The 24015-nt window shown below is 35.9% G+C and overlaps 1 protein-coding gene and 1 pseudogene across 20 annotated transcripts in view, besides 2 other annotated features; both read right to left on the bottom strand.

Annotated features, from left to right (window-relative positions):
• Positions 1-24015, bottom strand: part of RANBP17 (RAN binding protein 17) — a 437998-nt gene that overhangs the window by 380084 nt on the left and 33899 nt on the right. For 13 of the 20 annotated variants that reach the window (XR_007058628.1, XR_941108.3, XR_007058630.1 and 10 more), the window contains exons 5-11: positions 23817-23882; positions 10167-10271; positions 8798-8963; positions 5692-5765; positions 3348-3467; positions 1073-1219; positions 319-491 (exon numbers count right to left, since the gene is read on the bottom strand). Coding sequence is in view for 16 of the 20 variants with exons in the window: in XM_011534627.2 (XP_011532929.1) it covers positions 319-491; positions 1073-1219; positions 3348-3467; positions 5692-5765; positions 8798-8963; positions 10167-10271; positions 23817-23882 (851 nt within the window). In the remaining 4 variants the exon portion in view is untranslated. Of the gene's footprint in view, positions 1-318; positions 492-1072; positions 1220-3347; positions 3468-5691; positions 5766-8797; positions 8964-10166; positions 10272-23816; positions 23883-24015 lie in introns of those variants that run through there. The other 7 variants (XM_017009736.2, XM_047417530.1, XM_047417532.1 and 4 more) reach the window with 4 other exon arrangements.
• On the bottom strand, positions 15176-23050 carry LOC100419059 (tubulin epsilon 1 pseudogene; annotated as a pseudogene).
• Positions 16118-16617: an enhancer, noted in NCBI's record as "H3K4me1 hESC enhancer chr5:170330319-170330818 (GRCh37/hg19 assembly coordinates)". NCBI's record gives its function as "activates a minimal SCP1, AML or CMV promoter by ChIP-STARR-seq in primed H9 embryonic stem cells {active_cell/tissue: H9 hESC(primed)}" and the evidence as "EXISTENCE:reporter gene assay evidence [ECO:0000049][PMID:30033119]".
• Positions 16618-17119: an enhancer, noted in NCBI's record as "H3K4me1 hESC enhancer chr5:170329817-170330318 (GRCh37/hg19 assembly coordinates)". NCBI's record gives its function as "activates a minimal SCP1, AML or CMV promoter by ChIP-STARR-seq in primed H9 embryonic stem cells {active_cell/tissue: H9 hESC(primed)}" and the evidence as "EXISTENCE:reporter gene assay evidence [ECO:0000049][PMID:30033119]".

Genomic DNA, 24015 nt, shown 5'->3' with positions numbered 1-24015 from the left:
AAGCTGCATACTGTATAATTTCATTTATACAACATTCTGGAAAAGACAAAAAAAAAATTACAGGTACACAAAACAGATCAGTAACTGCCAGAGATGAGGGTGAGGAGAGGGGCTGACTGAAAAAGGAGCCAAAAGAACTATCTGGATTGATGGAACTAATCTATATCTCAATTGTGATGGTAGTTATACAATTGTGTGCACTTGTCAGAAATCATACAACTGTACGCTAAAAGGGGTGAATTTTAAATTTATAACTTTATCTTAAAAAATTCCAAGTGTCAAAAGGAAATACAACAAAAACATTTAGTTTTTGAATACCTCACAACTATGGCAACAGAGTCCAACCGAGAAGTGATAAAGGCCTTCGTGATTTCTGGTGCATAAGTGTCTAATAGGTGGGGTTCAGTTGATTTCACAAAAGGAACAGATGCTACCATCCTTTGCCACAGAGTTAATAAATAATGAACACTGTTAGGAGCAAATTCCCAGTGCTACAAAGAAATAAAGCAGAAGTTATTTAAAATATTACATCTTCCTACAATAAGAATTACAGAATAAAATTACTAAACATACATTTTTAAATTAACTTTTATTCTTACTATAAAACTAATGAACACATAATATAGCAAATTTATAAATGCAAAAAAGTATAAAGAAACCAACATCTCTATTATTTTACCACCCAGAGTAACATTAAAATATTACTCTACTTCCCTCTAATCATTCCATGAATATTTTTCAGAGTTGACATCCTGTGAAAAACATGGTTTTATAATCTCTCCCTTAAAATTATTTTAAAAACTTTTCTATAATATAATCTGTAAAAATTTTATTTCTTCACATAGATTTTATTATAGTTTCTCAAGCCATTATTCAATTATTAGATATTTAAATAGCTTCTCAATTTTTATTATATACATTTCAATGAATTTTTTTACCTAAAACCCTGTAATGAACATTTCCAGCAAAGTAATCAAATTAATAGATATTTTTCAAATACCCCCACCAACCCTTACCAAGAAGCTGTTTTAAAACTGGCTACAGTTTAACATAATTACATATTTTTACCTACCTGTAGGCTAGTAATGGTAAAATTAGCAATCAATCTAATAACTTCAGGATATTCCTTCACCATAACTAATTCTCCCAGCTGATAATTTGTCTTTAAACGAGCCAAAAATCGACAAAATTCATGATAATTACCTGGATCAGACAAACCCTAAATTATGAGACAAAAAGAAAGGCTTAAAAACAAGCCAACCTATGGACAATAAAATCAGTAAAACCCCAAAGCATCTTAAGTCTCCCAATTTTCATGAGTACTTAAAATACTCTGTGTCAATTGGGTAGTTAACAATGTAAAAAAATAGAGGGATTCTTGCTAGGTCTAGTTTTGTCATCAATGATTAATAACAAGGAATCCAAAGTAGAGGCCTTGGAAGAAGATCTGCATCACAATGACTAAATTATAATTTTGGGGAAGCTATTATAGTACACAAAAGTTGTGTGTGTGTGTGTGTGTGTGTGTACTGTGGTTTAAACAGAAGTCAACAAAGGACCTGGAAAATACTTAAGATTAAAAGTAAACTCTAGGAAAGAACAATACTCACCAGACTGAAATGGTATGTATGAGCACACAAATAACAGAAATTTTCTTAATTAAACAAATATTTATTGAGTATCTACAGGCACTGTACCCTCAAGCAACTCCGTGTCTCTCCATGTCTCTAGACAGTCATTCAAACAAATTACTGCAATGTAAGGAATAAAGTTGAGCAAATAACTAAAGTTGAGCAAAAACAAAATTCACCCAGGTAAATTTTGGAGGAGTATAGATTAAAAGGAAGTAACAAAAAAGGTCTGCCCAGTTGTCTGTAAGCTCCTTGAAAACAGTTTTAGTATGCACTGTAGCTGGGATGAAACAGAATTCAAAAAGTATCTTTGTAAAACTGAAAGTCTCTAAGCAATTTCATTCATAGGAGCTCCATGAAATATATAGAAAATAGTACCTATTAAAGAAAAATAACCAAAAAAATTTTGTAATCATACATCTTTAAAACATGTTTGTGATTCTAAAACAATCTAATATTCATACCAACTTTTACAGCCATGAAACATTAACGTAAGGATGTTGGAAAATCATTTAAGAGAAATTATCAGGAATCGGCATATTATCTTCCACCTATTGGTTGATGATAGTGAGTTAAACAACTAAACATTTTAAAGTATATTGGTAAAATCCTCTTTATCAGCAAAACAGAAAATTTCACAACTATACTAACATTGAAAAGATAAAATAAATGCATAACCCATAAAACACTTCTGAGAATATGCAAAAACAATTGCTTTTTGTAGAACATTCTTACTGAAGATATATGTCACCCCCCAAAATTTATTAATAACCAAGAGAATTAGGTAAACCTCCTTAAATCATTTAACCTTTAAAAATCTGTATTTTACAGATATTTTAAACCAAAATCAAAATAAAAAGTAAAACAAAATATTTTATGTAAGCACCCAAATTACTCAATAGCAGCTTTGCAATTCTCTGAAATGAATATTGGCAATGAAGCTCTAAAGTTAATGCAGAAAAAATTTTAAAATCTACAAACTCTTACTTGTCCACAAGAGGGCAAGAAAACATAATTTCATAATTTAAGGCCACTTGCTCCAATATTAACATTCAGATTTATATTATGTCTTCTAGTTCATAAGGTGGACATACTGAATTAATCACTTCAGTAGTTTAAGAGCAAGCAAAGAAATGTAATACAATGGTAAAAGACAGAAGCATAGTAAGATAGATAATCTCTAGTCATATTTGCCTAAAAGAAAAAAATAAGAGAAACACAGAAGTCAGCCATGGAAACATCCATTTTTAAAAACTACCCATCTCCACCACAAATGAGATCTAAGGGCTGAGCATGGTGGCTCATGCCTGTAATCCCAGCACTTTGGGAGGCCGAGGCAGGTGGATCATTTGAGGTCAGGAGTTGGAGACCAGCCTGCCCAACATGGTGAAACCCCATCTCCACTAAAAATACAAAAATTAGCAGAGGTGGTGGGTGCAAGCCTGTAATCCCAGCTACTCAAGAGGCTGAGGCAGAAGAATCACTCGAACCCGGGAGGTAGAGGTTGCAGTGAGCCAAGATTGCACCACTGCACTCCAGCCTGGGCAACAGAGCAAGACTTGATCTCAAAAAAAAAAAAAAAAGCTCTAAGGAAGATATATATGATACTAAATGTTTTCTTCCAGAATCATAATAAATTCATGATGAGTTTATTATGTGCCTTTAGCTGAAAAACTGTATCTCTATATGCTAAGTATTAAATTACTTCATAAATACCTGAGGGTTTTCAAGTATCCTTTTTACTCCCTTAATTAAATTACCAAGGTACTTGGCACGTTCAGGACTGTTAAATAAGGACCTTCTTGTCGAAGCAAACTGAACTAAACATGAAAGTGCCTAAAAAATACCAAAAAAATTTCATTTCAATTTTCAAAGTATCTGTGGCCACATGTAAGGAATACTAGTCTTTACATTTAAAATGAATTTAATTTTAATGCATTATAGAATATAACGCATTATAATGCAATATAGAATATAACGCATTATAATGCAATATAGAATATAACGCATTATAATGCAATATAGAATATAACGCATTATAATGCAATATAGAATATAACGCATTATAATGCAATATAGAATATAACGCATTATAATGCAATATAGAATATAACGCATTATAATGCAATATAGAATATAACGCATTATAATGCAATATAGAATATAACGCATGATAATGCAATATAGAATATAACGCATGATAATGCAATATAGAATATAATGCATTATAATGCAATATAAAAAGCATTATAGAACATAAAATTAATAAAAGCTAAATATCATCAACCACTCCCACCACCCACAATCCTTCTACCCCATCATAAAAATTCCTATTTGTATGTATTCCCCTCTAATGTTTTTTCATTAACAAAATCAGCCAGTTCAAGGCCTGTACATGCTATACATTTAATAGGCTCTCAATTGCTTATGATATCTAGTTCCATTTTCTAATGAATCAGGTTTTCTACCAAAAAGAAAATATGGTTTTGTGGTACAGTATGTTTGGGAAATAGTGCACATTATGTACCGTGGTATCCTGTTGGGGGGGGCAGGGGGAACCTGTAATGTAATCCAGCATATTCCAAATTTAATTGGTCAAGGAATATTTTACACCATCTATTAGCATCTTAAAAAATGGTCTGAAAATGGTGCTGGAAAAGGTAGGTACTTTACGGTGAGAAAAGAGACAAAAATCAAATGACGCCCTTTTTAGATGTGCTCCAGTTTGCCACAGCCCCTACCATGAGAACCTAAAACCCAAATTAAAAACAAAAACAAAAACAAAAAACTCCTTAGGAAACTCAGAAGTACAAGTATAGGAACCACTAGCGTACTAAAAACACCTGGGGTTGGGGGCAAAAAAGACCTGTGTTTCAATCTCAATGCCAATATTTTCTTTGTTGCCCTGGGGGAAGTCACTTAGTCAATCTGGGTCTGTTTTCTGTTTTTCTGGGTCTACATAGTAGGGATTTTTATCATTTACCTTTCAGGGCCACTTTGAGGATTAAGTGAGATAAGTATCATACAATAAATAGGACATGTCCAATAAATGTTCATTACTATCTCTCAAAGCAGTTGTTTTCTACTTTATTTTTTAAGCACTAGTACCTTTTTTGTTTTATCCCAAAACATAATTACATGAAACCATGGTTTTTACACAACTAAAAGCAAGACTGTTGCGACTAAAAGACAGAAGGCTGTGGCCCCAACTGGAAACATGAGGTACCCTGAGAAACCCAGTTTAAAAAGCACTACCTTAAACTCTAGATTCAAGAGAAGACATGTTTTTTTAAAAAGGACATTTCTGTGAATGCTTTCCTCCCTTTTAGGCAATAAGATACCTAAACAAACACATCACTGATATATACTTTAAATATGCAATATGTTTTTCAGAAAATGGCAATATTAGAACTCCCCAGCTTTACAAGTTTAAACTTAAACTTACAATTTTTAATAACCTTGACAGATTTGTTTTAGGCTCCGCAAAGATGGAGCTAAGAGTCTCAAAGTTGTATACAACTACAGAGTATCAAGAACTTTTTAAGCATGCAATAGAATTTACACTGATTCAAAAAATAAATAAATAACTGGCTTGATGAACACAATTCAAGTGAGTAGATCCCCTTCATTTCTTATTCAGAGATCTGAAGGGGACAGCCTGTCAAACCTAAGACATGGAGCCAGGCAAGGTTGAGGAAGAGTTAGAGAAGGGTAGTAGAAGGGAAAGTCCTTGTGTGGTGGTCAGCTGCTGGACTTAGGCCCTATGGGAACTGAGTAGGAAAAAAATATGTATTTAGGGATTGGTAGGTTGTCCTGGCTCTGGGCAAGAGCTAAATCAACAGTTACTGGTTCTAGGCTCACCCATGAAATAAAATGTAACGTTGACAAAACAAACAAAATTTGACAAATAGTTTAAGCAGTATACATCCCAGAAAATATAAGAACTTACTGTGAAAAGTAAACTCAATTGAATATATAAACAGAATTTTTGAAGTAAATATATACCACCCCTTATTTACACAGGTATTTTTTAACGAAATAACGAATGACTTTTACTTACTAACTGAGATAGTAGTGGTGGAAGTGAATGATACAAATTGAAGAAAAGATCCAATGTTTCTGGTTCCAGGAAAACTGGGAAAAAAAATTATTTTCTAACACCATTACTTTCAATTCAGTGATCTTAACAAAGTAAGACAATATCACACAAACTGAGAAATCCAAGGCCTCTGCATGTGGCCATTCCTTCCAGTTAGGCCTATTTTTAATTCCTAGCTATTTTCCTTTGAAAGATGAAATAATACAGAGAGAAATTAACTAGCCAGGCTCTTCCTCATGTAGCACTTCCTCTATGTAGCACTACAGTTTGAACTGGGAGAATCTTCTTACTATTTTCATTTGTATTCAAGTAATATAAACATTGAGAATTCAAACAGTATCAAAAAGTAAACAGTACTAAAAAGCTTACAATAAAAAAAAAACTGTACCCTATCCCATTCCAACTGCTTTTCAACTTAGCTATAGTTACATTCATGTTTCCAAATAATAGCGTATACTATTTCTTCATTTGATTGTTTTACTTTAGACATCAACTGCATTCCTATTACAGTGTGTAACGCTTTAGCTGTCTAATCACGAATGCCACAACCCTACCACCCCTACCACTCTCTCCACAATCAATCCTCTCAAAAACCCATCCACTATTATCACAATTTGTGATTAAATCAATTCTATGTGTTTACATTTATTATGACTATGTAAATAATATTAACGGCTGAGCTGTAATTACATCACATTTCTAATACTCGCTGGACTTAATCATACCATCTTTTCTGTGCTTAGTTGTGTATCTGTCACTAATTCTCTCCAAATGCTCTGAGAGACTGGCACAATGTTCTTCATAACATGTTCCACACCATCAATAGCATCAAATAACCCATCATTTGCATTCACCCACCCCTACCTCCCAGAGCCTTCAACTTGAACTGGTTGCTCCTTAACTTTGTTATACAACTGTAGCCTTTCTATGTCTTTCACTGTCATCTTGTGTTGAAGTGCCCATTTCCCAAATTCCATTATCTTCCACTTTCTTTGCTTGTACATCAAGTAGCTTCCTTAGAGCAAGTACATAAGGGATAAATTTTGGAAGGACTCGCATATCTGAAAATGTCTTTATTCTATCTTAGATTTGATAAGTTTGGTCTAGTTTGGAAACAATTTTCCCTCAGAAGCCTGAAGATACTTCTCTATTGTTTTCTAGCTTTCAGTGCTGCTGTTGAGAAGTCTAATACCTTCTTGACCCCAATCCTCTGTAGGAGGAGACTTACTTTTTTCTTTCTGGTAAGTTTTAGAATTTTTTTCTTTATCCTTACTATTCTAAAATGTCATGATTATAAAGCTTAGTGAATATCTTTTTTCATTCATTATGCTGGGAACTTGGTGGGATCTTTCAATCCAAAAATGCATACCCTTCAGAACTCAGAACATTTTGGGGTACTATCTGTTTGCAAATTTCCTTCTTTCTCCATCCTCTCTTTCTAGAACTCCTAACCGTCACACCTCCTTAATTTCATCTTCTAGTTTTCTTGGTTTTTTTTTCCTCCTATCAAACATCTCCTTGCTTTTTTGTTCTACATTCTAGGAGATTGGGTTAACTTTGTCTTACAACTTTTCCACTGGATGTTTTATTTTGACAACTGTCCTGTAAATTTGGAACATTCTCTGAACAATATCCTGTCCTTGTTTCAGGGATGCATTATCTCAACATCTCTCTGGGCATATTCTTTATATCTTTCTGAAGTTTATTTCTACTTTCACCTTGTCTCTGTTGCTATTAACTACCCTCCATTTTAAAATTAAACTTTCTGAGATAATTGTAGATTCACATGCAGTTGCAAAAAATAATACAGAAAGACCCCGTGAACTCCTACCCATTTTCCTACAATGGTAATTTCTTGCAAAACTACAGTATAATATCTCAACGAGGAAACTCACATTGATAAAATCCACAATCTTATTCAGATTTCCCAGTTTTACATGTACTCATGTGTGTGTAGATGTGTGTTTTCAGTCTGTGAAATTTTTTATTACATGTATTGGTTCATGTTTCCATCACCACAGTCAAGATACAGAACACAAAGTCCCCCTTTGTTGTTGTAGTCTCTGATCTCCATATTAGAAGTTTTTCACAAAATTAATACTGTTCCTCTATTATATCTGGTATCCATGAATATGAGGCCTCTCCAATTTTATTTCTTGAGGAAAAAAACTCTGGTCTTGGAAAGTAAAGAAGTAGCACAGGTAGAGAAAAGGGAGGAAAAGGCAGTCACCTAGCTGCACAGGTGGTAGAGAAGATCCTGGAGAGTTTAACTGTTCAGAGTACAGACTTTTTATCAAACCCCGTCAGCCCCATTTCCCAATTCTGAGTTCAGAGGTACCTTAGGTGCCACCATTTTTCTGGAACATGGGAGAACAAATTAGCTTCCTTTTTCTTGGTATCCCTTTCTATAAGCAAGTTGCAACTCTCCTCTTCTAGGTCACTTAATCTAATTCATTCTCTTTATAACCCTGAAAGATATGTTGACATCTCTTGCCAACTCTTCATATTAAACTTTTTTCTTTCTCATGATGACCCTTCATACTGAACTTTTTTCTTACTTGATCTCCAAGCTGTTGAAATCTGCACTGTGCAAAGATCATTTGTAGAATCACCTATTGAACTGCCAATGAAGTCAAAGTTAAGGCAGTTAAGGACCAGTTTCAAGACCTTCATTACCAGATTTTGCTAACACTGATCCTGAAGATTTAAAGGTTTGACCAGCACCTGAAAATGATCATAAACAGAGTGGGATCCTGTCCCACTCTGTTTATCTGAAAGTCTGAAAGTTTCAAATCATAGCTCTTGACTTTCCTCCCAAATCTGCTCTCCATTTAGCTCTAGTGCAGTCCTTGTTTTTTCTTTTTTCCTAAATCAAAATATAGAAGTTACTATAATATGAATTACAGAAAACATTTCAATATTAGCTATCAGCAGCTACTTCAGGTTACAAATCCATTTGAGCTATTTTTTTAATTCCTGGCAAAAAGATAACTATACATACAGAAACTATATTGCTTAATACTGTGCCTTTATGTTGATGACCCTTCATACCAAAGTTTTTTCTTACTTGTTCTCCAAGTTGTTGGAATCTGCACCGTGCAAAGATCATCTGCAGATTCATCTGCTGAACTGCCAATGAAGTCAAAGTTAAGGCAGTTAAGGACCAGTTTCAAGACCTGCATTACCAGATTTTGCTGACATTGATCCTGAAGATTTAAAGGTTTGGCAAACACCTGAAAAAAGTACAAAATCAAAGAAAACACTGCGAAATACATCAATAAATTTACACTTCATGAATTAAAATAATTTTTCAATGTCAAATGAAAACTAATAAAGGAGTTTACAAAGTTATACTGTTCCATATATAAGGAAGTAATGTTACCTTCTTCAAGAAAAACTGGGTTAACTTCATGCATAAAAGAATCACATTCAGCTAATAAAGGCAATCAGAACTCTGAATGTTGGAGGACACTCACAAAGCTTCTGGAGAACAATCCTATTTCCAAGATAATGCCCATTCTCACACAAACCAAAAACAATTATACCTTTTAGATATATTGTGAAATATTTATAGAGGAAATTATATGAAATTTGGGATTCTGCTTGAAGAATAATATAAAAAGAAGTGGGTAGGCAGGAATAGAGAGAAAACAAGATTGGCCATGAGTTGCTACTGTTTAACTGGCTGACAGGTTAACTGGTTATACTATTCTATCTACTTTTGTGTATGTTAAAATTTTCTGTGTTAAAAGAAAAATTTTAAGATAATAGAAGGTCTTTGGGTCTGACATAGTGTGGCAGTTGTCATGTTACTAAACCAAAGAATTGAAATAAATGGAAACTAGTGCTTATTGAAGCATACTTTCAGCAATGCTATATTACACCAATTATCAGGCTTGAATAGCATGATGGAGTCCCTATATTATACAAGAGAATACAGTATCATTATGAATCATGCTATCACTAATATTCAATAGGGCACTAAGTAGCAAATGGGGAAATACTATTTCCCAAAGAAGTTGTTAAAGTCAACGATCTTGGCTAAACTATGAATAAATTTTGATAGTTGATGAATCAGGAAAATATTGTCATTTCATTTTTCATCTGCATCCTATCAAAATATAAGCAAGCAGATAAAGAAACTAATACTCAAGTAGCTTCTATAATTAAAGAATCTACACTGGGAAGGCAATGAAACTACTACCTGAAGATAAGTTATTAGATTCCCTTTGGATTTCACCTTATCATATGCCCAGTGAGTAAAAGTGAATTTTTTGGAACTGCTTACAGACTTATGCAAATTTACTATACTTAAGTCTGTCCACAATAATTCTTTAAAAGGCAAAACTGGGGGGAAAATTCAACTGAAATTCTTTTGAAACTCTTAAAATTTCCCAAATATTCTAACTAGGAAGTTGAATTATCAAATAACTTACCTCTTTTAAAAGAGAGCATGCTAGCACTAAAACGTCTTTGAGAGAAGTATCACGAAATGAGGTAGCTATTTTCCTGTGTTTTGCTGAAGGTCTAGAATAATCAACCTAAAAAGATAAAGATGAAATTAGTTTAACCAGACCTATGAAAAAGCAAACCAAAATTTACTAAAAAAAAAAAAAAAAAAAAGGAAATAAACTTGAGTAGAACCCAAGTTTCTAGACTGTTTCAATTTAATGTTCTTCCTACAACCCGTACTGATCCCAATACTAAAAACCAAAGTTCATCACACTTTCAGAGGCAGTATAAACAACACAGATTATAAAATAAAAATAGATACTAAGACTATTAACTCCTAAACCATGTACCATATTTTATATCATGCAGTAACAACTTCCCTGTTCCTCACATTCCACCTGTAAAATGAGAAATCTCCAAGATAATCTCCAAATTCTAACTTTGTCTATGAATAAGAAAACTGAATTAGCCACAGAAAAATTCTTCTAGTTGAAAGTGATATTCCTATATGTACCATATATGTCATTAGTTCATATATCTTTGATACTACGAAAAGAAACCAAGGCAGAAATTATAAATAATCAGAAATCTGATTTCTTATATAAGCAATAGTATATTCCCTCTGAATATTTTATTAGCTAATGACAAATAATTTTTAAGAATAAACTAAGACTAGCTCTTAGGCCTCTAACCTAAAATGTAGTATATTCAAAATTATACTATTCATACCATTAGTATTTCCATTTATCAATAGGAACAGGCAAAGCTGAAGTCTGACACTCATACTAACATTAACACTATGGTCTACAGTTGCTATGGCATTACTATTTATTCTTATTGCTATTTGGAAGAAGAAAATAAACCATTTTCCTTGCTAGTGTTTATAGATCTGAAAGAAGCAATGGGCTTAAAATTGATTATGTGATACTTCCTAAGCTCCAACATATAATTTAGATTATACTCGATTGCCATATTTACTTATAAAACATGAAACATAACAGAAGGCCAAATGATTACACAAAGTAGTTATGGAACCTATACCCAATGTGTAAGATTTAAATTAGCATTTTCAGTGTTCCTTTTTTTTTTTTTCCCAACTTTCATTTTAGCTTGTGGGGGTACATGTGTGTGTTTGTTGCCTGGGGTATATTGCTTGTTGCTGAGGTTTGGGGTATGAATGATCCTGTCACCCAAAAGTCAGTTTTTCAACCTTTACCCCTTTCTATCTCTCCCCTATCTAGTAGTCCCCAGTTTCTACTGTTGCCATCTTTATGTCCACAAGTATCTAGTGTTTAACTCCTACTGGAAGTGAGAACATGTGGTATTTGGTTTTCTGCTCCTGCATTAATTTGCTTCAGATAAGGGCCTCCAGCTGCATCCATGTTGCTGCAAAGGACATGATTTCATTATTTTTTATAGCTGCATAATATTCTGTGGTATACGTGTATTTTCTTTATCCAATCCACCGTCAATGGGTACCAAGGCTGATTCCACGTCTTTGCTTTTCTGAATAGCACTGCAGTGAACATGTAAGTGCATGTTCCTTTTTGACAGATTTGGGTTTGGGGGGATATATACTCAGTAATAGGATTGCTGGGTTGAATAGTAGTTCTGTTTTAAGTTCTTTGAGAAATCTCCAAACTACTTTCCACAGTGGCTGAACTAATTTACATTCCCACCAACGTATATAAGAGTTCCCTTTTCTCCACAGCCTTGCTAGCATCTGTGGTTTTTTCACTATTTAATAATGGCCATTCTGACTGGTGTGAAATGGTATTTCATTGTGGTTTTGATTTGCATTTCTAAGATGATGAGTAATGTGGAACATTTCTTCATGTTTTTTGGCCACTTGCCTTCTTTTGAGAAGTGTCTGTTCATGTCTTTTGCTTATTTTTAATGCCTCTCTTGATTAATTTAAATCAAATCTCAACACTTTCCTCAATATATAAAAATATTTTTTCCTTAATACAAATTAAAAGCAAACAGCATTATAATTGCAATTTATAAAGTATTCTTCATATATTATTTCGCTTATTCCTTAAAACTAATCTGTGAGATACATTTTATCTTTTTAAAACACATGAGTTTTGAAATAAAGGATGATTTTAAAAGATGAGAAATTCAAGTTTATATGCACACTATCTTAGACTAACTTCTCACTCTCATCATATCCATAATATGGAAAGAAACTTAGGTGTACTGAGCACTTTCTACACACTAAGTCCTGTGCAAGTTAATATAATCTTATTAAGATCCATATAAGTAGTTGTCATTCTCACTTTACAGGTAACAATATGTAAGTTTTAAAGAAGCTAAGAAGTTTGTAAAAGGTAAAAATAGAGCGAAAATACAACTCCATGTTTTATTCCAGAGTTATATTAAAGGACTGCATGCTTATTTTACTTGGGTTACTCATTTAGATATCCAATATTTTGAGACGAAGGATTGCACATCCATTTTCTATTGCATATATATGCCTCTACCTTGGAGGCACAGGATATTTTACTTCTTAATGACTGGATAGTGAATATACTCCAGGAACAGAAACTCTAGCTTCTAAAACAGCAGGATAACTTATATAATCCTCCTAACTTTTAGGAAAACTCAAGTGTAGTTCTTTTTCTTAAGAGACACATCCTGTTATGGATACTACATGAATTTATCTGGCTCACATCTGATAACTAGAATATTTAATTACCCTCATGCATTATAGATCTCCCTACTTCCTGGTTCAGAAATGCTTAATAAATGCTAGTTGAAACTGTAAATGTCATAAAATTAGGCTGAATGAACTGTCTCCACAGAAGCCATCTATATTTTTCACCATATAAAGCCAAAATCACACTTCAGACCTTAAAGCTTTTCTTAAAAGGTGCTTGGTTCAATGCAAGAAAAGCTTAGACTGTCTTGTGCCAGAAGGTAAGAAAGAACCCAAAGAATGGTGAGGAAATATCAAATGGACACAAAAATCAGCTTGAAAAAGGTCCTATTGGTCAAATCTTGGAAAATCTGAGCAACAAAACAAATAATGTTAGCAATGAATTATAACCTATTAAATAGAATGAAACGAGGAATCCATAGTAATATAAATTAACAAATCAAAAAGCTGAAAGTCTGATAAGGAACAAGATATTTTCAGAGACTTAAGTACCTTTTCACAAAATATGTATTAATTACAACAGGGAAAAGAGTAAGTCTACAATGGGTGAGCCCAGAGGAGTCCATCTTAATTAAGAGATCAAAGTGAACATCATCAGTAATGTGACAAATCATCACATGCTTCCTGATAGGAGGCAAGGAGATGGGCACAGTATCATTTCTGTGATATTTCTGACAAATTCACATAAGCTGAATCTAATAATGAGGAAATATCAGACAATCCCAAATTGAGGGACATTTTACAAAACTGGCCTATAATCTTCATAAACGTCAAGGCCATGAAAGTGAAAAAGATTGAGAAATTTTTCTCCAGATTGAAGGAAACTAATAAAACATAAGAACTAAATGTGATATATAATCCTAAACTGGTTCTTCTGCTAGAAAGAGTGTTTATAACCAGTGAATCTTGAATGAGGTATGAGGATTAGATAGTGGGAATAATTCCAGTGTTCATTTTCTGATTGCAAGGTTGTATTGTGGTTAGGTACAAGAACGTCCTTGTGTGTAGGAAATACACTAAATTCCCTGGTGGTGGAGAATTATGTTAGCAACTTAGCGTCAGTTGAGAAAAAACTTCTCTTTACTGTACTTACAACTTTTCTGTAAGTTTGCTAATTAAGAAAAAGAAGTTATCCTGTTGCTCTCTAAACTGCACATTTACCAGAACTTCACATTAACTAGTCTTATTTCAGTGATAATCTAAACACAGCACAAACTCTCATTTCCAGGGCAGACTATTTTCCTATTATGCTGAGAAGCATGAAATGAATCAAACTGCTAGTTTCAAAATTAGCAAAAAGTTGTAAAATGAAGATAAGTACATGAGGTTATCATACTATTCTCTTCACTTTTATGAAAATATTTAAATGTACTTTTTTAGAAGGAAGCTACAGTTCTTTAGACATATTTAGAGTTCAATAAGATTATCCCTGTCATAATATCCCTGCTGACACAGTATTATTAACAGATACCTATGTACACACAAACACACAGCATATACTCTGGGGTGGAGGACTCAGGAAGGTGATGGCCGTGATAAGTTAAGAGATCACTTTAAATTTTAGAAATCCATCCTATAAATCTAAAAATATTTTCTAATTCCTGATTGAACACAAGTAGAAAATGGTTCTTTTGTATTTTTTTATGCACATGGCTATAATGTTACTCCAAAGGGAGTTGGCAAGTGATCCTGGGTATGCAAGCTCTTCTACATATATACATCTATATGTGTGCATGGACATGCATGCCCACACGCAAACACATATCACTCAAGATGACAGTTTTTAAACACTACATTCCTCTTTATTATAAAATTACTCCACATAGAACCCAACTTCTGCTTTCATTCTGTTTAGAACCATTTTATGTGCAAACGGAACAGGTGATAATAGGTTCAGATCATAAAAGCACTGTTGGGGAGAAGTACAGCTTCTGAAAACTCCCCTTGTACAGGGTAAAAATCCAAACTAGGAGCCATAAAGTGAAAAAAGGCCTGTTTTGTTTTTTAATATAAACATTTATTATTATAAAATCAATTGGTTTGATAAGAAAGCAATTATTTTAAAAATTTAATACAAATACATGTTAAGTGTACAAATTAGAATTCTTTTGAGAAAACAAGTTCTTATCTAAAGAAGAAACAAAACCTCCTTAACGGTTGGAATAAAACCTATCCCTGAATAGTTAGTGGTATTACACAGAAATATTTATATTATGTTCTTCTATTCCCAGTACCTACTTTTACAGAATCAGGAGAATTTAAATAGAATATCAAAATATAAATGATAAAAATCTGTACAAGATTTTTATTGAAGACATGATTATCAGTGTATAAATGCCTAAATATGAGGTTATAAATACAACATAATACTGAAGAACTCCATTCTCTCAATTTTAGAAAGGGAGATTTTTCTGAAGACAAATGTCTGAAGTTCAGGTACTAGGATTTCACTAATTTCACACACTGGTATTATCGACAAATTGTGATTAAACAGAAATCACTCTTTTAGACAAAAATATTTCCTAATATGAAAAACAAACTAGACTTTCTGAATCTCAAAGAAATACTGAAACAGAAAGGTGAGAAAAAACGTGAAATTAAGAAAATATTTTGGAGGGTTTCTTTTATACACGGCTATGCTTAGGCTTGGTAAATCTTGCACAGGTATGTTTTTTCTGGCATCCACTCATACAGTGGTGGCCACTCCTGTATGAGTGCTGATAAAAACAACACAGCTTCTGTGAAATAGCTTTCTTCCATGCCTTCAACTTGTAGACAGTGATGAAGGTGAGCTTTTTTCTTGTAGAGCCTCATGAATCTCTCTTTCATTTCCATGAATGTGGGCTTCACATATGTGTTATTTGCTAAAGCTAATAATGAATAAAAATGGTCCACAGGAGGGACAGGCTGGTCTAGCCTTCTTGATTTCAGGAGACAAATTGTAGAGATGGTTTTAATCTTTCAATATTTCTGCAAAGATGTAAAATCTGTACATTTCCTCTAACCATGAGCACACAGGTGAGGTAAAGACTATGTTTAGGGTCTGCCTGAAGCAGCTGGTGATCTTTACTAAAGGCATTTGAAAACATCTGATCCAATCTTTTAGTAGGAATGTTAACATCCGCCAGTGTGTATAGAGGTGTTAGGCTTGATACAAGATAATGAAGCTGAGGAAAAGGAACTAAATTCATGCTGATTTCATTATGGTCCTTATTAAGGGACCCTTCAAATCTTGCGGAGCTTGTTAGGTTGAGCAAATTTGCCACAATGTTGTTGACTGCAACAAAGGGCTTATTCTGCTTTTTAAAGCCACAGCACTTGAAGTCGTCTACAGTTGTACCCAACTTTCCAGAATTCACTATGAGGTCGACTTTGCTAATGATGTCAAATAAAGACTGTCAATGGGCAACACACAGTCTGCTTGCTCATTAAGTTCCTTCATTGCCAAGATGCCATTATGAGGTCAAGTTATGACATCCTCCTCACCGGAAGGATAAATGGAGGTCATAAATCTACATACTTCTGGGAATTCATCTTCAAGCACCTTTAAAAGAAATGTGCCGAGTGGCACCTGGAACGCCAGCCAGCAAGACGTAAGCGTTCACTCCCCTGGAAAGGGGGCTAAGCCAGGGAGCCAAGTGGTCTAGCGCAGAGGATCCCACCCCCACGTAGCCCAGCAAGCTAAGATCAACTGGCTTTAAACTCTTGCTGCCAGCACAGCAGTCTGAAGTCAACCTTGGATGCTCCAGCTTGGTGGGGGGAGGGGCGTCCACCATTACTGAAGCTTGAGTAGGCGGTTTTGCCCTCACAGTGTAAACAAAGACACTTGGAAGTTCAAAATGGGCGGAGCCCACCACGGTAGCCAGACTGCCTCTGTAGATTCCTCTTCTCTGCGCAAGGCATTTCTGAAAGAAAGGCAGCAGACCCAGTCAGGGGCTTATATATAAAACTCCCATCTCCCTGGAACAGAGCACCTGGGGGAAGGGGCGGCTGTGGGCACAGCTTCAGCAGATGTAAATGTTCCTCCTTGCCAGCTCTGAAGAGAGCAGGGGATCTCCCAGCATGGTGCTCAAGCTCTGCTAAGGCACAGATCTCCGTGCCTCCTGACCGGGAGACATCTCCCAGCAGGCGTCAACAGACACCTCATACAGGAGAGCACTGGCTGGCATCTGGCAGGTGCCCCTCTAGAACAAAGCTTCCAGAAGAGGAAACAGGCAGCAATCTTTGCTGTTCTGCAGCCTCCGCTGGTGATACCGAGGCAAACAGGGTCTGGAGTGAACCTCCAGAAAACTCCAGCAGACCTGCAGCAGAGGGGCCTGACTGTTAGAAGGAAAACTAACAAACAGAAAGCAATAGCATCAACACCAACAAAAAGGACATCCACACAAAAACTCCACCTGAAGATCACCAACATCAAAGACCAAAGGTAAATAAATCCACGAAGATGAGGAAAAACCAGTGCAAAAAGGCTGAAAATTCCAAAAACTGGAACACCTGTTCTCCTCCAAAGGATCACAACTCCTCGCCAACAAGGGAACAAAACTGGACAGAGAATGAGTTTGACGAACTGACAGAAGGAGGCTTCAGAAGGTGGGTAATAAACTCCTCTGAGCTAAAGGAGCATGTTCTAACCCAATGCAAGGAAGCTAAGAACCTTGAAATAAGGTTAGAGGAATTGCTAACTAGAATAACCAGTTTAGAGAAGAACATAAATGACCTGATGGAGCTGAAAAACACAGCAAGAGAACTTTGTGAAGCATACACAAACATCAACGGCCAAATCAATCAAGAGGAAGAAAGGATATCAGAGATTAATAACAACTTAATGAAATAAAGTGTGAAGACAAGATTAGAGAAAAAGAAATGAAAAGGAATCAACAAAGCCTCCAAGAAATATGGGACTATGTGAAAAGGCCAAACCTATGTTTGATTGGTGTACCTGAAAGTGATGGGGAGAATGGAACCAAGTTGGAAAACACACTTCAGGATATTATCCAGGAGAACTTCCCCAACCCGCCAAGACAGGCTAACGTTCAAATTCAGGAAATACACAGAACATCACAAAGATACTCCTAGAGAAGAGCAACCCCAAGACACATAATCGTCAGATTCACCAAGGTTGAAATGAAGGAAAAAATGTTAAGGGCAGACAGAGAGAAAGGTTGGGTTACCCACAAAGAGAAGCCCATCAGACTAACAGCAGATCTCTCTGCAGAAACCCTACAAGCCAGAAGAGAGTGGGGGCCAATATTCAACATTCGTAAAGAAAAGAATCTTCAACCCAGAATTTCATATCCACCCAAACTAAGCTTTGTAAGTGAAGGAGAAATAAAATCCTTTACGGACAAGCAAATGCTCAGAGATTTTGTCACCACCAGGCCTGCCTTACAAGAGCTCCTGAAGGAAGCACGAAATATGGAAAGGAAAAACTGGTACCAGCCACTGCAAAAACATACCAAATTGTAAAGACCATCGACACTATGAAGAAACTGCATCAACTATCAGGCATAATAACCAGCTACAATCATAATGACAGGATCAAATTCACATACAACAATACTAACCTTAAATGTAAATGGGCTAAATGCCCCAATTAAAAGACACAGACTGGCAAATTGGATAAAGAGTCAAGACCCATCAGTATGCTGTATTCAGGAGACCCATCTCATGTGCCTTTGTAAATAGCCTACACACATAGGCTCAAAATAAAGGGATGGAGGAAGATTAACCAAGCAAATGGAAAGCAAAAAAATGCAGGGGTTGCAATTCTAGTCTCTGATAAAACAGACTTTAAACCAACAAAGATCGAAGGAGACAAAGAAGGGCATTACATAATGTTAAAGGGATCAACACAACAAGAAGAGCTAACTATCCTAAATATACATGCATCCAATACAGGAGCACCCAGATTCATAAAGCAAGTTCTTAGAGACCTACAAAGAGACTTAGACTCCCACACAATAATAGTGGGAGACTTTAACACCCCACTGTCAATATCAGAGAGATCAACGAGAAAGAAAATTAACAAGGATATTCAGGACTTGAACTCAGCTCTGGAACATGCAGACCTAATAGACATCTACAGAACTCTCCACCTCAAATCAACAGAATATACATTCTTCTCACAACCACATCGCACTTATTCTAAAATTGACACATAATTGGAAGTAAAGCACTCCTCAGCAAATGCAAAAGAACCAAAATCATAACAGTCTCTCAGACCACAGTGCAATCAAATTAAAACTCAGGATTAAGAAACTCACTCAAAACTGCACAACTACATGGAAACTGAACAACCTGCTCCTGAATGACTACTGGGTAAATAACAAAATTAAGGCAGAAATAAATAAGTTATCTAAATCCATTGAGAACAAAGACCCAATGTATCAGAATCTCTGGGACACAGCTAAAGCAGTGTTTAGAGGGAAATTTATAGCACTAAATGCCCACAACCAGAAAGCTGGAAAGACCTCAAATCGACACCCTAGCATCACAATTAAAAGAACTAGAAAAGCAAAAGCAAACAAATTCAAAAGCTAGCTGAAGACAAGAAATAACTATGATCAGAGCAGAACTGAAGGAGATAGAGACACGAACAACCCTTCAAAAAGTCAATGAATCCAGGAGCTGGTTTTTTGAAAAGATTAACAAAACAGATAGACCACTAGCCAGACTAACAAAGAAAAAAAGAGAGAAGAATCAAATAGACACAATAAAAAACGATAAAGGGGAGATCACCACTGACCCCACGGAAATACAAACTACCATCAGAGAATACTATAAACACCTCTATGCAAATAAACTAGAAAATCTAGAAGAAATGGATAAATTCCTGGACACACATACCTCCCAAGACTAAACCCAAGTTGAATCCCTGAATAGAGCAATAACAGGTTCTGAAATTAAGGCAGTAATTGGTAGCCTACCAACCAAAAAAAAAGCCCTGGACCAGACGGATTCACGACTGAATTCTACCAGAGTTACAAAGAGGAGCTGGTACCATTCCTTCTGAAACTATTTCAATCAACAGAAAAAGAGAGACTCCTCCCTAATTCATTTTATGAGGCCAGCATCATCCTGATACCAAATCCTGGCAGAGACACAACAAAAAAAGAAAATTTCAGGCCATTAAACCTGATGAACATCAACTCAAAAATCCTCAATAAAATACTGGCAAGCCAAATCCAGCAGCACATCAAAGAGCTTATCTACCATGATCAAGTCGGCTTTATCTCTGGGATGCAAACCTGGTTCAACATATGCAAATCAATAAACATAATCCATCACATAAACAGAACCAATGACAAAAACCACATGATTATCTCAATAGAGGCAGAAAAGGCCTTCAATAAAATTCAACCCTTCAGGCTAAACACTCTCAATATACTAGGTATTGATGGAACATATCTCAAAATAATAAGAGCTATTTATGACAGACCCACAGCCAATATCATACTGGATGGGCAAAAGCTGGAAGCATTCCCTTTGAAAACCGGCACAAGACAAGGATGCTCTCTCTTACCACTCCTATTCAATGTAGTATTGGAAGTTCTGGCCAGGACAATCAGGCAAGAGAAAGAAATAAAGAGTATTCAAATAGGAAGATAGGAAGTCAAACTGTCTCTGTTTGCAGATGACATGATTGTATATTTAGAAAATACCATTATCTCAGCCCCAAATCTCCTTAAAGCTGATAAGCAACTTCAGCAAAGTCTCAGATACAAAATCAATGTGCAAAAATCACAAGCATTCCTATACACCAATAACAGACGAACAGAGCCAAATCATGAGTGAACTCCCATTCACAATTGATACAAAGAGAATAAAATACCTAGGAATCCAATTTACAAGGGATGTAAAGGACCTCTTCAAGGAGAACTACAAACCACTGCTCAAGTAAATAAGAGAGGATACAAACAAATGGAAAAACATTCCATGCTCATGGATAGGAAGAATCAATATTGTGAAAATGGCCATATTGCCCAAAGTAATTTATAGATTCAAAGCTATCCTCATCAAGCTACCACTGACTTTCTTCACAGAATTAGAAAAAACTACTTTAAATTTCATATGGAACCAAAAAAGAGCCCATATAGCCAAGACAATCCTAAGCAAAAAGAACAAAGCTGGAGGCATCATGCTACCTGACTTCAGAGTATACTACAAGGCTACAGTAACCAAACCAGCATGGTACTGGTACCAAAACAGATGTATAGACTAATGGAACAGAATAGAGGCCTCAGAAATAATGCTCTACATCTACAACCATCTGATTTTTGACAAACCTGACAAAAACAAGAAATGGGGAAATGATTCCCTATTTAATAAATAGTGTTGGGAAAACTGGCTAGCCATATACAGAAAACTGAAACTGGGCCCCTACCTGACACCTTATACAAAAATTAACTCAAGATGGATTAAAGACTTAAATATAAGACCTAACATCATAAAAACCCTAACCTAGGCAGTACCACTAAGGACATAGGCATGGGCAAAGAATTCATGACTAAAACACCAAAAGCAATGGCAACAAAAGCCAAAATTGACAAATGGGATCTAATTAAACTAAAGAGCTTCTGCATAGCAAAAGAAACTATCATCAGAGTGAACAGGCAACCTACAGAATGGGAGAAAATTTTTGCAATCTATCCATCTGACAAAGGGCTAATACCCAGAATCTACAAGGAACTTAAACACATTTACAAGAAAAAAAAACCCCATCACAAAGTGGGCAAAGGATATGAACAGACACTTCTGAAAAGACGACACTTATGTGGCCAACAACCGTATGAAAAAAAGCTCATCATCACTAGTCATTAGAGAAATGCAAATCAAAACTCAATGAGATACCATCAAAGGAGACAAAGAAGGGCATTACATAATGTTAAAAGGTCAATGCAACAAGAAGAGCTAACTATCCTAAATATATATGCACCTAATACAGAGGCACCCAGATTCATAAAGCAAGACTGCAACTCACGCCAGCTAGAATTGCGATCATTAAAAAGTCAGGAAACAACAGATGCTAGAGAGGATGTGGAGAAATAGGAACGCTTTTACATTGTTGATGGGAGTGTAAATTAGTTTAACCATTACGGAAGACAGTGTGGCAATTCCTCAAGGATCTAGAACCAGAAATACCATTTGACCCAACAATCCCATTACTGGGTATATACCCAAAGGATTATAAATAATTCTACTATAAAGACACATGCACACATATGTTTACTGCATCACTATTCACAATAGCAAAGATTTGGAACCAACCCAAATGCCCATCAATGATAGACTGGATAAAGAAAATGTGCCACATATACACCATGGAATACGATGCAGCCATAAAAAAGGACGAGTTCATATCCTTCACAGGGACATGGATGAAGCTGGAAACATCATTCTCAGCAAACTAACACAGGAACAGAAAACCAAACACTGCATGTTCTTACTCATAAGTGAGAGCTGAACAATGAGATCACATGGACACGGGGAGAGAAACATCACACACCGGGGCCTGTTGGGGGTTGGGGGGCTAGGGGAGGGATAGCATTAGGGGAAATACCTAATGTAGATAGATGGCTGGTTGATGGGTGCAGCAAACCACCATGGCACATGTATACCTATGTAACAAACCTGTACATTCTGCACATGTATCCAAGAACTTAAAGTATAACAATGAAGAAAATATGGTTGTACGTACACATACGCGCAATGGAATATTTAAAAAAAAAAAAGAAGAAGAAGAAGAAGAAATGTGCCAAGCCCAGATCCTGATTCTCCTCCCACGGAATGTATTATAAAGAAACACTGCAAGCAATCACAGTGCTCTGCCAACTTTCTGAGTTTCTCTAAAACCTGGTCTTGATACAGACTGCCAAAAACTTTGTGATCCACAGCCCAATTATTTCCGGAGCCATAAGTATCAGTGATGAGCTGTTTGGTATCAAATACATCTCTCAGTGGTCCCTGCAGAATTTCATTCACTATCCCTTCTACCATGTCAATCAAGACAGCTGGTATCCACATTTCTAAGGAAGCTGCTTATTGCCTCATAATAGATTCCTTTCTGGCTGACCGCGGCGTGCTCCCTTAGTGCCAGGTCCCAGAAGCAGCAGCCAATCTGGTTTTCGCACTGGCCAACCAGTATGACCACCAACTGGGTCATTCTGGTGCATAGTCAGCTGGGGGCGCTTGTGAGCCGCGCCGGCCTCTGCATTGGGCCTGCAACCCAAAAGGCCTGTATTGTTTCTTGTTATTGTTGTTTGAGACAGAGTCTTGCTCTGTCACCCAGGGTGGAGTGCAGTGGCACGATCTCAGCTCACTGCAATCTCTGCCTCCCGGGTTCAAGCAATTCTCCTGCCTCAGCTTCCCCAGTAGCTGGGATTACAGGCGCCCATCACCACGCCCATCTAATTGTTGTATTTTTAGTAGAGATGGGGTTTCTCCATGTTGGCCAGGCTGGTCTCGAATTCCTGACCTCAGGTGATCCCCCTGCCTCAGTCTCCCAAAGTGCTGGCATTACAGGCGTGAGCCACCTGGCCCAGTCAAAAAAAAGCCTGTTTTTTTATGAGTCCTGCTGTGTATCCATTGTTGAGAATCAATTCCTCAAACCACCTATATTTTATTTGTAAGTGAATAAAGGTTTGTTTCTCTTTTGCATATATTTCTTATGGTTAGCATATTATGACATATATGAGGTAAAAGAACAATTCTCCAAGTGCCCATGGGAGCAAGAACCATGTCTAATTCTCTGTTCTTTGTAATACTCTGTACTATTGCAGATATCTTCAATAACAATGAAAATATTCCACCACTTAATTAGCCCATCAATAAAACAGATACACACACAAAAAACTTGATTATTCAGAGTTTTATGCCACAAAATGAAGGCTGTCTATTTTGCCACAAATAAAAGCAGAAAAGAAACAGCATTACTTAAGCAAACTCAGGCTCCTGTTAGATGGAAAGGCTCGCTTACCAGGTTCATTTCCTGAGTCAATTCAGAAAGGATTATTACTCCTATTATGCAGTGTTCCACAGTACCCTTTGGAGAAAATAACAAAGTTTAGCCTAAGTGGAGACAAGTGATTGGTTCTTAATGTATATACCAGGTAACATTTACAAACAATTAAAGACTGAAACACCACATTTACTCAATAATAAAATGGAAACAAAAT

This window comes from Homo sapiens, chromosome 5, assembly GCF_000001405.40.
Source record: "Homo sapiens chromosome 5, GRCh38.p14 Primary Assembly".
In the NCBI taxonomy this organism is placed as follows: domain Eukaryota; kingdom Metazoa; phylum Chordata; class Mammalia; order Primates; family Hominidae; genus Homo; species Homo sapiens.
Note: the sequence above shows the minus strand (reverse complement) of the source record. Positions and strands in the feature narration are given on the sequence as shown.